At 33.6% G+C, this 18,369-nt stretch overlaps 1 protein-coding gene across 3 annotated transcripts in view; it reads right to left on the reverse strand.

Moving 5' to 3' along the window:
• Positions 1 to 18,369, reverse strand: part of LRP1B (LDL receptor related protein 1B) — a 1,899,594-nt gene that overhangs the window by 68,414 nt on the left and 1,812,811 nt on the right. For all 3 annotated transcript variants that reach the window (NM_018557.3, XM_017004341.2, XM_017004342.1), the window contains one exon: positions 15,099 to 15,263. In NM_018557.3, the coding sequence (NP_061027.2) occupies positions 15,099 to 15,263 (165 nt within the window). The remainder of the gene's footprint in view (positions 1 to 15,098; positions 15,264 to 18,369) is intronic.

The following is an 18,369-nucleotide window of genomic DNA, read 5'->3' on the forward strand; positions in this document are numbered from 1 at the left end:
AAACAGTGCGTAAAGTACAAAAACAAAGTACATTAGAACAATCTGAAAAGGTGCCACACAAACATATAATGTGATCACTGTGGATTCATTGTTTCCTATATGTGTTTTTCTTTTTTTTTGTTTACATTAGGGTTGGAAAAAGAAGTAAAATGATACAAGTGTGAAAGAAACAAACGGTACCTGCTGAGGTACTTGAAAATTCTTCTATCCCCATCACTCAAAGAAATGACACTGAGCTTTCATGGTTTTGTCTCATTTACAGCTGTTTTGAAACTACAGCAGAGTGACTAGGTTGTCCACAGCTAGCATATGTCTTAGATCATTCAGAGTGCAGCTGAATTATTTTAAAAGTTCTTATTTCTCTTTCTTTGAAGAGCAGATTTCTTTCTGACAAGTAGAAATCTTCATATTCAGGGGAATATTACCTAACAGAAATTATTTGGTGATACAGCTGATCTTTTGTTTTCTGATGGGAAATGAACTTTCTGTTGCAGAACTGTATAATGGGCCCTATTTGCTGTTTTCAAGAATCTCTCTAGGTGCACCCTAAGACGTTGGATTGGATTCATTTACAGAGATTTTTAGGTAGCAGAATTTGATTTTAATACTTGAAAAAGAAACAGTCCTGTTACAATGATTAAGGTATAGATTTATAGCAGCGATGCATCCAGGGAGCTGGGGAGTTGACAGCCTACAAGGGTAGCACAATATGAAAGAACATCAGTTGACATTAGGAAAGAAGGGGAGGCTCCATACCTTATGTTTCTGGGCTCTAAATCAGTCTAGTTTTGACAGTTTCCTTAGCTCAGACACTAAGAATAAGGTTTTCAGACTGCCTAGATTCATAGCCTATGAGTGTCAAGTACTGGTTGTAGGACCATGGGGAAATATGTGTTTGTATCCCTGTCTATAAAATCAACATAATAATACTGCCTACCTCATGGAGTTGTTTGGGAGAATCATGTAGAATAAATTAGATAACACATGTGAAGCATTTCTAGCTGTACCAGTCACATAGAAAGCACAGAGTTATATTTTAGCTCTGATTATTATTATCGTTATTGTTATTATTTCTATTGAGTGAGATTCACCTTTTTTAGGTAGGACTTATTCTGTGGTTATGTCTACCAAGGTACTTAACAGTTTAAGCAAATCATTCTGAAACTTTTATTAAATTTTATGTTTTATCTCTATTATTTATTTAAGATAAAATTAAATTTGAATTTACTTTTATGGTAGTGATGGGCTAGAGCTGAAATTCTCCATCAACTTTACTCTCAGGGTCTAACATTTTTAGACTTTGAAGAATGAGTCTTTCTTCCCCCTTTAGCTTCTAAATATGCTCGATTCTACCTTTCTAAAGGAAAGAACACACATACTACAACAGCAAACAAACCAAAAAGCAAATCTAATATCTGCCAAGTCCATCTATTTGTACAGATTTTAATTTTGGTACATCCTTGAGCTTCTTCAAAAGACAATCATACTCTCTTTCTTCCCCCTTTAGCTTCTAAACATGCTCAATTCTATCTTTCCAAAGGAAAGAACAAACATGCTACAACAGCAAACAAATCAAAGAGAAAATCTAATATCTTCCGAGTCTGTCTATTTGTACAAATTTTAATTTTGGTACATCCTTGAGCTTCTTCAAAAGGCAGTTATACTCTCTGCTCTCAATTTGATGAATGTGTGACAGAGTAAAATATTCAATCATAAAAATCACATTCCAATCCTTCACTGAAGGTACAGCTTTTTTTAATATAAAAAATTATGTATCTTAATATATTACTTTCTTTATGCTCTCAGAAAACAGGCCAGAATGCTCAATGTGAATGTATTCCTCATATAAACTGATTTTAATTATTTGGTGGTAAGAAAGGTTTAAGAATAATGTGTAGTGTTGCTTATATATATATACACATATATGTATATTTTCTGTAGTTTATAAATATTCTGTACTTTACATATATAAAGTACAGAAAAAATCAAAGTGCATTAGAATATGTATACTAATATATGAATATATATGCAATAGTGTGCATGTATGTGTATGTGTGTGTATATATACACATATACATATATATACATATATACATATACACATACCCTATTTCAAAACTCACCTCTAATCACTTCCTCACTGAATCCATTAATTACTTCTCAACCATTATCTTCTTCAAATTTTCTCTTTGATTACACAATGTTGGCTAATATCTCTAGCTGGAAGATCTTTCTCCAGTGGCTTCCGAAACACTAGCTTTATTGATTTCTCTTTTGTTTTCTGCCTGCCTTTTTGTACAATTGTCTTTATGTTTTCTCTTTCTCTCAAAAAGTGTTCTTCCAAACTTCTTTCTGGTGATATTACCCAATTTTATGGCTTAAATATTTATCTTTCTGTCTAAATGCCTCTGTCCCAATTTTCTGATTCTGGGCTCCTTCTTCTTCCTAAACTTCAGACCTTCAATTTTACTCCTTGTATGTTTCCATGTTGATGTCTCTGGACAGTTGGTAAGTTCATCGACTCTTCCCACTCCCTAAAAGAGTAAACTTTGTCCTCCATGGCATACATACTTTCACTAGACTATAGCTGCTTTTAGTGTTAGGTCTACTTCATATTCAAGTTGCACTCTGTTAGTTAGCAAAGTGCTTTGCTAGATAATTACTATGATGGTTCATTTCATGTGTCAACTAGCCTGGGCAAAGGGATGCCAAAGTAGCTGGTAAAATATTACTTCTGAGTGTGTCTGTAGAGGTGGTTGTGGAGGAGATTGGCATTGGAATCAGCAGACCAAGTAAGAAAGATATTTCCTCACCAGTGTGGGTGGGTATCATCCAATTAATTGAAGGCCCAAATAGAATAAAGGTGAAGGAAAGGTGAATTCTCTTTCTTGATCTGGGACATCCATCTTCTCCTGGCTGAGGACATCAGAGCTCCTGGTTCTTGAGCATTCAGACTCAAAGACTTACACCTGAATTGCTTCCTCCTCCCACCCAGTTGCTCAGGTCATTGCCCTTAGACTGAGAGTTACACAATTGGCTCCCTTAGTTCTCCGATTTTTAGATTTGGACTGAATCACATGACTGCCTTTGCTGGTCCTTGAGTGTGCAGACAGTATACCATTGAACTCCTCAGGCTCCATAAGCACATGTACCAATTCCAATTATAAATCTCCTTCATATATATATATATATATATATATATATATATATATATATGGACATACACACACACATATATATCGGTTCTTTTTCTTTGTATGATACAAATATATATGCATAAAATAAATGGAGATTAGTTTATTTATACAATTTTTCTTCATAGATAGAAATTCTTTACATATATCTTCTAAAATGTTCCAGCAATGGGTCATACCACAAAGTCATAAAAATAAACTCTTTTTTATTTGTTTGTTATTTATTTATTTATTTGAGATGGGGTCTCACTCTGTTGCCCAGGCTGGAGTGCAGTGGCACAGTCTTGGCTCACTGCAACCTCCGCCTCCCGGGTTCACGCAATTCTGCTGCCTCAGCCTCCTGAGTAGCTGGAACTACAGGCACCTGCCACGATGCCTGGCTATTTTTTTGTATTTTTAGTAGAGATGGGGTTTCATTATGTTGGCCAGGCTGGTCTCGAATTCCTGACATTGTGATCCTCCTACCTCAGCCTCCCAAAGTGCTGGGATTACAGGCGTGAGACACCACACCTAGCCCATAATAATAAACTCTTACAATTTAACTTGATAGCAAATAATAGCTAATGTCAAATATGGTGAAGATGTAATTAAAATCACTAATCTTCTATAAAAAATATTATTTTTTAATAAAAAATCTTTTTATTATACCTTAAATTCTAGGGTAGGTGTGCACAACATGCGGGTTTGTTACATAGGTATACATGTGCCATGTTGGTGTGCTGCACCCATTAACTCGTCATTTACATTAGGTATATCTCCTAATCCTATCCCTCCCCCCCTCCTCCCACCCAATGACAGGCCCCAGTGTATGATGTTCCCCTTCCTGTGCCCAAGTGTCCTCATTGTTCAATTCCCACCTATGAGTGAGAACGTGTGGTGTTTGGTTTTTTGTTCTTGTGATAGTTTGCTGAGAATGATGGTTTCCAGCTTCATCCATGTCCCTACAAAAGAAATGAACTCATCCTTTCTTATGGCTGCATAGTATTCCATAGTGTATATGTGCCACATTTTCTTAATCCAGTCTATCGTTGATGGACATTTGCGTTGGTTCCAAGTCTTTGCTATTGTGAATAGTTCCGTAATAAACGTACGTGTCCATGTGTCTTTACAGCAGCATGATTTATAATCCTTTGGGTATATACCCAGTAATGGGATGGCTGGGTCAAATGGTATTTTTAGTTATAGATCCTTGAGGAGTCGCCACACTGTCTGCCACAATGGTTGTTGATGGGACTGTAAACTGGTTCAGTGTAAAAGTGTTCCTATTCTCCACATCCTCTCCAGCACCTGTTGTTTCCTGACTTTTTAATGATCACCATTCTAACTAGTGTGAGATGGTATCTCACTGTGGTTTTGATTTGTATTTCTCTGATGGCCAGTGATGATGAGCATTTTTTCATGTGTCTGTTGGCTGCATAAATGTCTTCTTTTGAGAAGTGTCTGTTCATATCCTTCACCCAGTTTTTGATGGGATTGTTTTTTTCTTGTAAATTTGTTTGAGTTCTTTGTAGATTGTGGATTGTAGCACTTTGTCGGATGAGTAGATTGCAAAAATGTTCTCCCATTCTGTAGGTTGCCCGTTCACTCTGATGGTAGTTTCTTTTGCTGTGCAGAAGCTCTTGAGTTTAGTTAGATCCCGTTTGTCAATTCTGGCTTTTGTTGCCATTGCTTTTGGTGTTTTAGACATGAAGTTCTTGCCCATGCCTATGTCCTGAATGGTATTGCCTAGGTTTTCTTCTAGGGTTTTTATGGTTTTAGGTCTAACGTTTAAGTCTTTAATCCATCTTGAATTAATTTTTGTATAAGGTGTAAAGAAGTGATCCAGTTTCCACTTTCAACATATGGCTAGTCAGTTTTCCCAGCACCATTTATTAAATAGGGAATCCTTTCCCCATTTCTTGTTTTTGTCAGGTTTGTCAGAGATCAGATGATTGTAGATGTGTGGTATTATTTCTGAGGGCTCTGTTCTGTTCCATTGGTCTATATCTCTGTTTTGGTGCCTGTATCATGCTGTTTTGGTTACTGTAGCCTTGTAGTATAGTTTGAAGTCAGGTAGTGTGATGCCTCCAGCTTTGTTCTTTTGGCTTAGGATTGCCTTGGCAATGTGGGCTCTTTTTTGGTTCCATATGAACTTTAAAGTAGTTTTCTCCAATTCTGTGAAGAAAGTCATTGTTAGCTTAATGGGGATGGCATTAAATCTATAAATTACCTTGGGCAGTATGGCCATTTTCACGATACTGATTCTTCCTATCCATGAGCATGGAAATTTCTTCCATTTGTTTGTGTCCTCTTTTATTTTGTTGAGCAGTGGTTTGTATTTCTCCTTGAAGAGGTTCTTCACATCCCTTGTAAGTTGGATTCCTAGGTATTTTATTCTCTTTGAAGCAATTGTGAATGGGAGTTCACTCATGATTTGGCTCTCTGTCTGTTATTGCTGTATAGGAATGCTTGTGATTTTTGCACATTGATTTTGTATCCTGAGACTTTGCTGAAGTTGCTTATTAGCTTAAGGGGATTTTGGGCTGAGAAAATGGGGTTTTCTAAATATGCAATCATGTTATCTGCAAACAGGGACAATTTGACTTCCTCTTTTCCTAATTGAATACCCTTTATTTCTTTCTCCTGCCTGATTGCCCTGGCCAGAACTTGCAACACTATGTTGAATAGGAGTGGTGAGAGAGGGCATCCCTGTCTTGTGCCGGTTTTCAAAGGGAATGCTTCTAGTTTTTGTCCATTCAGTATGATATTGGCTGTGGGTTTGTCATAAATAGCTCTTATTATTTTGAGATATGTCCCATCAATACCTAATTTATTGAGAGTTTTTAGCATGAAGGGCTGTTGAATTTTGTCAAAGGCCTTTTCTGCATCTATTGAGATAACCATGTGGTTTTTGTCTTTGGTTCTGTTTATATGCTGGATTACATTTATTGATTTGCGTATGTTAAACCAGCCTTGCATCCCAGGGATGAAGCCCACTTGATCATGGTGGATAAGCTTTTTGATGTGCTGCTGGATTTGGTTTGCCAGTATTTTATTCAGGATTTTTGCATCGATATTCATCAGGTATATTGGTCTAACATTCTCTTTTTTTGTTGTGTCTCTGCCAGGCTTTGGTATCAGGATGATGCTGGCCTCATAAAATGAGTTAGGGAGGATTCCCTCTTTTTCTATTGATTGGAATAGTTTCAGAAGGAATAGTACCAGCTCCTCCTTGTACTTCCGGTAGAATTTGGCTGTGAATCTGTCTGGTCCTGTACTTTTTTTGGTTGGTAGGCTTTTAATTATTGCCTCAATTTCAGAGCCTGTTATTGGTCTATTCAGGGATTCAACTTCTTCCTGGTTTAGTCTTGGGAGGGTGTAAGTGTCCAGGAATTTATCCATTTCTTCTAGATTTTCTAGTTTATTTGCATAGAGGTGTTTATAGTATTCTCTGATGGTAGTTTGTATTTCTGTGGGATCGGTGGTGATATCCCCTTTATTGTTTTTTATTGTGTCTATTTGATTCTTCTCTCTTTCTATCTTTATTAGTCTTGCTAGCAGTCTATCAATTTTGTTGATCTGTTCAAAAAAACAGCTCCTGGATTCATTGATTTTTTTTTTAAGGGTTTTTTGTGCCTCTATCTCCTTCAGCTCTGCTCTGATCTCAGTTATTTCTTGCCTTCTGCTAGCTTTTGAATGTGTTTGCTCTTGCTTCTCTAGTTCTTTTAATTGTGATGTTAGGGTGTCAATTTTAGATCTTTCCTGCTTTCTCTTGTGGGCATTTAGTGCTATAAATTTCCCTCTACACACTGCTTTAAATGCGTCCCAGAGATTCTGGTATGTTGTGTCTTTGTTCTCATTGGTTCCAAAGAACATTTTTATTTCTGCTTTCATTTCGTTATGTACCCAGTAGTCATTCAGGAGCAATAGTAAATATTATTAAGGTCTATATTTTATTTAAATATTGTATTGCTTATAAGAAAAATGGAAATGTCTTGGAATCTCATAGAGTTTTTTAAATTTCACTTATATCACATGTCCCTTACATAGCAAAATCTGTCTCAGTAAAAATGGCTGAATATAAAATATTTCACCACTAATATTTAAAGGAACAATATCAATTTGGTGCAGTGTTAAATAATTTGTTTTTGGTATTAGAGAGAACTTGGAATAAAGTCACGTTTGATATTTAAATTGTGTAACTTTAGAAAACATAGATTTCCTCCCTACATCACATTCTGTAAACAGCAATAGCAAAACCTATTGTGTACAGGTAAAACACATGGCACAATGCCTGCCACATAGCCAGTCCACAGTAACTGGAAGTTTTACTATTAGTAGAAATATTGGCATTATTACTACTATTAATATTACTATTGTTAAACAAATTATCTATGCTTAGGCTATTAAACTTGACTGAGTATATGCCCTTGCTAAGAAGCTTCATATAAAATCCTATTGCTCATTTTTTTCTTGATTTTATACTTTTGGACATAAGATGCTCCTAAGAATTCATATATATCAGTTGAAATAATATATTTTTAAGTATATAACAATAGAATATTTTCTATTATATGGATAAATAACTGCATGGATATTGTAAAGATTTATCCTTAGTTCCCATTAAAGGAGCATTAAATTTATATGATTTGGTTACATTGTACCTCCAGTAAATGGACCTATTTAACTGTGTGTCACCTTCAGTAATATAGTCATAGTCAGCTATTTCTTTGATATGGGCAGATAGTGTTGATTTTCAGTGATAATAAGTAATGTATTAGAGCACTTAATTTGGAATAATCAAAGTTCTCAGATTCTGGTCTTAATACTTAACCAATCTAGATCACATCTGAAAAATGCCACAATGTAAACATCATAGAGTAATAAAAATTAAGTAACATATCTAAGGACTTTAGCAGAATTCTTATTTATAGAGCATTCACAATATAGCAATTGCTACATTAAAGATAATAATTTCCAAAATAGTATACTATGCTCAATATAGAAATTACTACCTATTTGCTAATAATTTTAGAGTAAAATTTGTTGGGATACTTATTGTCAAGTAATATATCAATCACTATTGACACCCATTTTCTCAAAAGCAATATACTTTCATTTGAATATTGTAGAGGTATTTGATGTTGATATTTTTCAATAACTTACTGCAAACCTGGTGAGTGTCTGTCTTTAAAAGCTAGATTTATTTGATAAACTGTTCTTAAACTGATTATGGAAACATTATTTATTGATATAATTTAATGACTATTTAATGTCAAAGTATGTAAAAAACCCTCTCTAATATTGGACAGTTATGTTATGATTTATTTTCCTCTATCTACACAACGCTTGAACAAGTATGGCTGATTGCCAAAAAGGAATGCTAGCAAAAGTAATTCCTTCTGAGCTTTCTGTGACATAGTGACCGATTATTATTTCTGTGCCGTAGATACATGCTACTGAGCATTATTAGTCTGCTCTCTTTTTAAGTCAATTTTTAATTCATACTCATTTGTCTATGTGAACCATGACGCTTACCCCCATTTAGCTTGGTCCTGGTTGAGTCAGTCTGGTGCTTTCAAATTTTTGTCTTTGAGTATGATGTTTTATACCTAACTAGTTTTATGTATATCTAACTAGTTTTATGTATATCTAACTAGTTTTATGTATATACATGATTTTTTAGTTCAGTTGGTCTAATAAAAACATTGAGTGTAAGGAATAGCAGTATTTAAGTGACACTTAAACTGCAGAGCATAGTTATAAATGTTTATATTTAATGCCCTTCTATGAAAATACTATCAAAATATGACATAATACTTACTCAAAACATTTCTACTATTTGGACAGTAGCCACATTCCTGTCCCTTTATATAGCACAGACATCATAAACTGAGACAAAGTACCACTGTGTCATCCAGTTAGTTACAGGATTGCAATAGAAAAGCCTATCTCCTGACCTCTTGTCCCTAAGACTACTGTCCTTTGTGAATCTGTCTTGACTTCAGACTTTGATTCAAGTAATAAAAGTTCTGAATGCTTTAAAAAAATGCTAGTCTTTTCAATAAGGAGATTTGACATTCTACTTTTCTACTTAATGTAATGTTTTCCTGGATTTAAAGTGAGTGTCCACTTATAAATAATTTTAGCAAGGTGACTATAGCTGTCAGGTTTTCTTAAGCATAAAAAAGATTATACAGAACTATTCAGCAAAGCCTGACAAAGAAAAAGAAGAATTGTGAGCTTTATCTAGCTCCCTCCCAGGTACTTCTTAATATATTCTGATATGCTTCAAATTATAGGTCACAATTTATTTATACTTCTATATACTTCTAGAAGGTTTATTTTCAGCCAGCATTGTGGAAATAAGATTGAAGCATTTTTGTCTTTTCTGTGAATATAAGTAAGCTAACTTAAGCCTTCTAACATTAGCCCAGAGAGCCGTAAGATTGAATAGTCTGGTATTGCTCTCACCATATGGTCCAATCGAATCACTAACTGTGACTCATGAAGCCAGCAGCAAAATTCGACAGACTCTTACCTTTATTCTCTCACAGGTATCTTATGAAGATTCAAAGGGAGAGAACAGTGTCTGGCACTTAGTAAGCAACCAGTAAAAATAATTATCATGATCCTGACAATATTTTAATTTCTAATAATAGTTTCTAATATAATTATTGTTGCTATTTTAATTTTCAATGAAAACAATAATACATGTTAATAGTGGCATATCTGGAAAATACAAAAGTATAAAGAAAGATCTATTTCTTTATACAGATATTTTATGTATACATAATTTCCCTACTAGGCTCATATTATACAGCAGTTGTATATCCTGTTCTTTTTGAATTTCAATTTTATCTCCAATTTCGTAATACTACAAATAACACAATCAAATGTTCTCACTTCTAAATTTTGTTTTTTTATTACTACATAATCCTTGGGACATATTTCAAAAAGTGTTCATATTTAGTCAAAGGGCATTGACAACTTTTTAAACTCTTGCTGAGTGTTTCAAAATTGCTTGCTGCAAAGTTTGCATCATCAACATTTTCTTCTGGTAGTGATTTGTAAATGCTGGTTTCATCCATGTCTGACTGGGCTCCTCCTCTGCTTTCTGCTCCCCAAACTCCTGCATATATGTATGAGACTTATCTTTTGCCACTTTCTTATTATGCTTTCTGTGTTTTTTCTACTTGCTTTGTTGGAGTTATAATTTCCTATATCACATACTTGTTAAATTATATTCTCTATTTTGTGTTTTCAATTTTAACATCATTAATTATTTACCTGAAAATGATCATACTGTCTAACACAATCTACAGATTCAATGCAATTTCTATCAAAATACCAATGCCATTTTTCCCAGAATTAGAAAAAGCAATCCTAAAATTCATACGGAACCAAAAAAAAAAAAAAGGCCTGAATAGCCAAAGTAATTATAAGCAAAAAGAAACAGGAGGCATTACATTACCTGACTTCAAATTATACCACAAGTCTATAATAACCAAAAGAGCATGGTTCTGGTATAAAAATAGATACATGGATCAATGGAACAGACTAGAGAACCCAGGAATAAAGCTACATGCTTATGGCCAACTGATCTTTGACAAAATTAACAGAAATATACAATGTGGAAAGGACATCCTATTCAATAAATGGTCCTGGGAAAATTGGATTGCCACATGCAGAAGAATGAAATTAGAGCCCTAACTCTCACCATATACAAAAACAAACTCAAGTTGAATTTAAAATTTAAATGTAAGAACTGAAACTATAAAAAATGCTAGAAGAAAACCTAGGAAAAACTTTCCAGGACACTGGCCTAGGCAAAAAATTTATAACTAAAACTTCAAAAGCAAATGCATCATAAACAAAAGTAGATAAATGGGACTTAATTAGACTAAAACACTTCTGCATAGCAAAATAAATAATCACAAGAGAAATATAAATAAAAATCACAATGAAATGCCATCTTACATCAGTTAGAATGGCTACTATTAAAAAGCCAAAAATAACAGATGGCAAGGATGTAGAGACAAGGGAACACTTATACGCTGTTGGTGGGAATGTAAATTAGTATAGCCTCTATGGAAAACAGTATGGAGATTTCTCAGATAGCTAAAAATAAAACTACCATTTGATACAGCAATCCCACTACTGAGTATATTCACCTAATGGGAAAAAAATATCATTATATCAAAAACATATGGCACGTGTATGTTTATAACAGCAATATTCACAACAGGAAAAATATGCAGTCAACCTACGTGTTCAGCGAATGACTGACTGGATAAAGAAAACGTGGCATACACACACACTATGGGATACTACTTCGCCATAGAAAAAAATAAAATCATGTTTTTTGTAGTAACATGGATGAAACTGAAGGCCATTATCTTGAGCAAAACATCTCAGAAAGTCTATTACCACCTGTTCTTACTTATAAATAGGAGCCAAATCATGTGTACACGTAGACATGTTGTGGAATAATAGACATTGGAGAAGTGGAAGGGTGGGAGGAGGGTAAAGGATAAGAAATTACTTAATGGGTAAAATGTACACTATTCAGCTAATGGTTACACTAACAGTCCAGACTTCACCACTACACAATATATCCATGTAACAAAACTGCACTTGTATTCCCTAAATTTACACAAATAAAAAAAGCCCAAAAAAGGCAAGTAGAACCAAATATCCAGTTTTCAGCATTCCCTAAATATAATTAATTAACCTATGTTAAGGGAGCTAGGATGCAAAGATTGATTTAAATATCTTCATTTAAATGAGAAGTCAAAGAAAAGCAAAGATGGGCAGTTTAAATGAATGTTCACTCTTTAAGATATCAGTTAGGTGACTGTGGATTTTATGCCCCACGTACATATGTGACTTGATATCCTTTACTACATATGTTTTGTCATTAGTTTCATAATGTTCTGAAGTTATCCAAAAATTCTGGTTTAACTTGACTTTGAGCAATTCTACCATCTGATGTGGGGACAGTTACCAAGACAGAAAACCCTTGAATGAATGAGAAGGAATGCTCTTTACTTCCGGGGGAAAAAAAATCCTTCACTGCCAAAGTCCTCAGATGTGGTGGCAGAGAGAGCTACAATGACAGCTTCTGCCTTCTTGTTGTGGTATTCACTTAAAATATTCAATTCAAATGTGTGCCCACCATATCCCAAATTGCACTTTCACTTCTTAACCTAGCTAGCTGTGCTTTTGCATATTTACAAACTCCCAAAGTAACATCTACTTCCCCTCAGCATAACTCCAAACTTTAGGAGTAGAAGAAAGTAATTGGGAATGTTGTCTCAAAAGTACAAACCCTCTAGTTCCATTCCTCTAAATCAACTGGGTAGGAAAGTTTGACTCACTTTGATATAAACATTAAAAGACTAAATAACAGACCTATAGCAGTACAAAAATACCAAACATCATGAATATACTATAGAGAATAAATGTTCATAAAAGTAAAGATTAAGTGTAAATATAGCTGTTAACAGCAAAAATGTCTTAATGATATCTATGATGCATAAAATCTTTCAAAAATTTTCTCTATTTTTCAATAACAAATGCTTAATACTATGCTTTACTCTGATTTCAATTATTTTGTCAAAAGCAAATTTCATCTTAAATCTATCCTCCTATGAGCAGGTCATAAAAATGGCCTACATGAATCCTTATTGATATAATCAATATCAAAATATTTCATTTTTAGTATCTTTTTGTATGAATATAGCTCATACATTTAATTTTTAGTGTTCATTATTACAAACAGTAACCTTAAGGAATGAGAAAAACTCATTCCTACATGTAAAATTTTAATTATGCCTCAACGATGTGTACTTTTAATTAGTGACATTTCTTTTGTTCAATTATTATTGTCCTATACAACTGTCATAAACTTATAAATTATAATTAAGCCTGCCCCAAACCCTAGTTATATAGTGTCCACACAGGAATTTGCCAAAAGGCTTAACTGTAAGTAAACCAACAATGAATAAATCCATGAATTGCTCACTGGGATTTGTTTAACCAATTAACATTTGTGTGGAGATAATGAGGTTCTACAGTCTAAAATACCAAACAATGTTTTTATAAAACCACATTTTAAAAGTGAAAAATGCTTTTTAAGTGACTTAATTACATATCATATAATTATTATTAGATGCTATAAAATAAACTGCATGTCTGTATCTCATATTGAATCCATATGAGAACTAATTTACATTACTAATGAGAACTAATTTATATTATTTAAAAATATTTTTCTTGAACATTTTATGTAAATCAGGATACAATTGTGTGCACAGACAAAATCGAACTACAGATTTTGAGCATGCATTAAAGTTTAGACAAATGATTTGAACAAAACATTAAAAGTTGTGCTGTATCTATATACAACTCAGGATGCATCAAGACAGCAAATTCAATGTTTTGTAGAGATTTATCCCTGAGATGCATTGCAGGTTCAATAGGCAGCAATAGTTTGGAATTCCAAATTGTTTACTTGGCCTAAATATTTCTAAATATAAATATAGATAAATCATCCAGCTATAACACCATGGTTTTCATTATCTCAATGAGAAAATTAAGTTACTAATTAAATAATAAAATTTCCAAACAATTAATTTTTTATGAGAAAAACTTTTTCCCTAAAGGAGATATTATGTGTGTTAATAAAATACACACACGTATTCCTTGAACCTGAATTCTTATTTGTATATTCAATAAAGGACACAGTACTACAATTTTTTCTGTAGTAACAGAATATACTTTATGAACTAGCCTCCCTTAACAGAATAAAAATATGTGGTAAGACTCCTATTGCCGTTTATATTTCAATCTAATCAAACTCCTGATTTTTTCAGAATGCTATTAAGTAATTAGAATAATTTCATTATGAATTAATAAGAAAATATTTATAGACATAAAATTATCTAACTTTTCCTATTAGAGTGCATTTCAGAAACAGCTTGATTTTTCAGATCCACACTGAAAATTCTTCATATAATTCTTTCAGTTAGCACTATATTAAATACTTCAAAACACAGCATAAACAATAGAAGCAGTGAGAACTCCCACTAAGATAGAAATTAACCATGTAGGGGAATGTGAAAATAATATAGAATTTTCCATTTGACTAAATTTGCATTTATGGTAGTAACATTAAGTGCTCATAGATTGCACTATAATAGTTGCATAATATCCCTTGCACTAAATATTGGAATTTGCAAATTAGATTTTTATTATGCATTGGGGTTATTTTTTCCTCATGGGACACATTTTAAATTTAATACAAGTCAGTAGAAGAATATGTTTCTATGTTCATTTATGTGCTGTACAGAACACTTTCTGCAAGCATAGCTATTGCATAAATTAATAATAATCTCAAATATATCCTAAGATGTAGAAACCTTGTATTTCCAAAGCACATTATATGATACAGTGTGATGCCAAAAGAATAGATACAATTTTAGATGGGAATCAGGATGCTATCAGATTCTCTGTTACAGTTTATTTACATTTAAAATAATCCTAATTTTCAATAACAATTGATTTTTAGCATTAGGAAAACTACGTGCAACAACAAAAACAAAACATAAACTTTGGGGTCAAACATAGTAAGCTTGGAAAATTGGCTCTACTAATCATTCTGAGCCAGGGGCAAATTATCTATAAACACTGAGCCTGTCACATGGTACATACTCAACCCAGAGTAATTGTTAAATTTTTGGCTTGAACTTTTATATACTGAATTTAGAACAAATGCCATTGATTTAATTTTGTGTTATTATATTGTGTTAGTCTATTGTTCATTAAGATATTAGGAAGTATATTTGTAACATTAAGCATTTTCGATTCATATATAAGGAAAAGTGAAAAAGATGTGAAATACAATGACAATGAAATATTTACCTAGAACTGATGGTACGCAAGTTCCTCCATTCTGGCAGTAGTTGCTACAGTGGTTGACTTCACATCTTTCTCCTGAATAACTGGGCCAACAGTGACACCTCAAATCACCTTTCTCATTTAAAATGCATCTTCCTCCATTTTCACAAGTTAACTTACATGAATCATCTGTTTATGAGAAGAAATGTACAAATTAGCATGTTTTCAGGGAGTAATTTAATAAAATAATTCAAATAGATACAATATTTAAATACTAGGATCTTGTGTTTCCATAAAATAATTAACCCCAAGTACAAAAGAAGAAAAAATTAAATACTATCTGAAAACAGATAGATTCTGGTTGTTGAATGGTAAATATACATATTAAATTAATGTGTATTCTTCTTTAAATTTAAAGCATTATTAACCTTTTCTTGTATTTGTAAAATACTGAATAGTAAAACTAACTGAAACTTTCTAAAAGTAATATATTTTCATCTTATTTCTTTTTTATTTTACTGAGACAGGGTCTTGCTCTGTCACCCAGACTGGTGGGCAGTGGCATGATCACAGCTCACTGCAGCCTCAACTTCCTGGGCTCCAGTGATCCTCCCACCTCCACTTTCCAAGTAGCTGGGACTATATTGTGCACCACCACACGTGGCCAATTTTTAAATTTTTTGTAGAGACAGGTTCTCACTGTGTTGCCTAGGCTTCTAAAAGTATTATATTTTCCAACCAAGAAATCTTCCTTATAATATGGACAAACATAGCTTATTTTTAGGAGTAGTTGCTATTAAAAAAGAAAACTTTAAATTTGTAAGATACATTTATAGCATATGCACACACATACACACACTATTTGTTCTATAGCCTATGCGTGTGTGAATATACATAGTATAGAGAAATGTTTACATGAAGAGAGACTCTTTGATGTTGGTCCTTATTAACCATATATAAATCTCCCAAACTAAAAGTCATTGAGATTTGGTACAAGTTGGTGACAGAACAGTGTCAGAAACATTTCTGTGTGTAACATTTATCCTAAATGATTCCGTAGAGTCTACCTACTTAATAACATTTTGACTCAGAATAAAAAAGGTTGGACATTCCTTGGGGTAGCAAAATTATTTTTAACAATATGGCAAGTATAATTTATGATAAAGATAGGTTTGGAATCATTTTCTAGGTTATTTTGCTGTGCATATTGGCATGGCCTTCTCCGTTAGAAATGCTGCTTTGCTGTGAGCAACATAGAGTGTTCAATGGAACAAAACTGATTGAGAAAGTTGTAATAAGCATTCTATTCTAGAATATGCCCTTTACTATAGTAATGTCCATTTTATAGTTAAAGTAGGTAAAATCAAAACAATTTATGATCCTTTTTCAAGATGCACTGGCACATACATGACAGAAGCTTGAATATATCACTGCAATGATTTCAAGAGCATCTTTAAGCACCTCAGTGGCTTCAAATGACACAATGATTCAAGTATCATGTCCACTGTCATAAATAGAAACTGTCAGCAGTGCCATACAATTCTGAGACTTGCCTCATTGAAAAGTTTCTAATACATTGTCATGTAGGCAGGATTCAGATTGGCATTACTGAAGTTTGTATTTGTAATATGAATAACTCTCTCATGACGTAATAGAAATATAAAAAATTACAGTGGTATAATGAGACCCGTGTAGGTCCTGGTTCTGCCGCTTACTAGGCATACAAGTTACCTGATTTGAGCCTCAGTTACTTCACTTTAAAATGTCCTTAATGACAAATACACAAGTTAACTCAGGTTTGTATGACTAGTAAATAAGAAATGGGAAAAAAAATATAAAATATAAAATTGTAACACTTTGTAAATATTAAGTACATAAGTGTTAAGTATGTACCATACACACATATACACAAATGAAAATTTGACTTCAGCCCTTATCGACTGTATCTAGACTAGGAGAAAGATGAAGCGCTGACAGTTGGGTCTCCAAAGTGTACTGTAAAATTTCAACAGGCGATTGATATGTTCATTTGTTAAAGTAAGCAAGTAGCATTCTTATTCAGCATTATCGACCGAGTGCCCAGAAGGTTTACAGAGGATGGAGCTCCGGCGGAATACCATCTAGGCAGACCTATGGGTGAGCACTGGAGGAAATGAATGAAAGTTACTGTGAGTGGACATGAATGAAAGTCACTGTAAGCGGACCTGGATTGGAGAGGGTAAAGAAAGGAATTACAATAGGTAAGTGATTTTGAAGAAAGAAGCAGTAAGAGAAGATCCATGGATTTTAGACTCCACCCCAAAGGTAATGTGGTGTCTTGGAAGGGTAATGTACTGGCAGGGGTTAAAATGGCAGCTTAAAAAAGCAGGGAGACTCTCAGAACTTCGTATACATTATCCAGGATAGGTAAGATGATGACCCAAAATAGAGTAATGTGGGATGAATAAATGTGGATGTATTCTAAAGGTCATTCAGAGGTAAAAATCACAGCAGTGTTATGTAAAGAAAAATGAGGAAAAATTAAGGATGATTCTTCAGTTTCTGACCAGGACAATTAGGTGGGAACACAAGGATGATGGGAAATGGAGGGGTAGTTTTGAGGTGGCATACTAAATTGAAGATGCCCTTGCAAATGTAAGTGGGAATCTCCAGCAAATAATTGAATACAGAGATCAAACTCTCAAGAAATACGCAGAGTGGAAATATGCTTGTTTAATTTAAAATTTACCAAAGCATTTCTAACTCAGTCAACGTTATTTGTCCTAATAAAGGTTGTGGATGTGGACAGTGAAGATAAGCACTTAAGGCATTATGATCATAGATAGGATTATTATGGGGTACTCATTTTTACCTGTCAGTTCTATGAAAACCACAAGGATTTTCAAAATCCTTACATGTTAGGGCATGCGCGTTACTATAACGTGCCTCATTAGGCACCAGAAATTTTAAAGTACAACACTGCCTGATGAAATGGAAGTGGAGTTACATTCTTGCAAAACTCATAATAATGGTTCTATAATGAAAAAGAAAGCTGCTTTTGTCAATAACTAAATCACCCCCAGAAGCCAACCTCCAGCAATTATAATCAACTATAGGAAAAAGCAGGTGAACACTTCCCCAAGAATGAGTAATATTTGAATTTCAAATTTCTTACACAAAGATTAAAAATGTTCAGGGTGCTCATCAGTTAACAATAGCAGCCAGAGGTAGGCAAATAATTATAAAGAAATGAAAAGCTTGGCTATAGCAAATGTTAATGTCAGAAAAAAAATAACTAGCATTTATCTTCAGCAAT

Source organism: Homo sapiens, chromosome 2 (genome assembly GCF_000001405.40).
Source record: "Homo sapiens chromosome 2, GRCh38.p14 Primary Assembly".
Classification (NCBI taxonomy): Eukaryota; Metazoa; Chordata; class Mammalia; order Primates; family Hominidae; genus Homo; species Homo sapiens.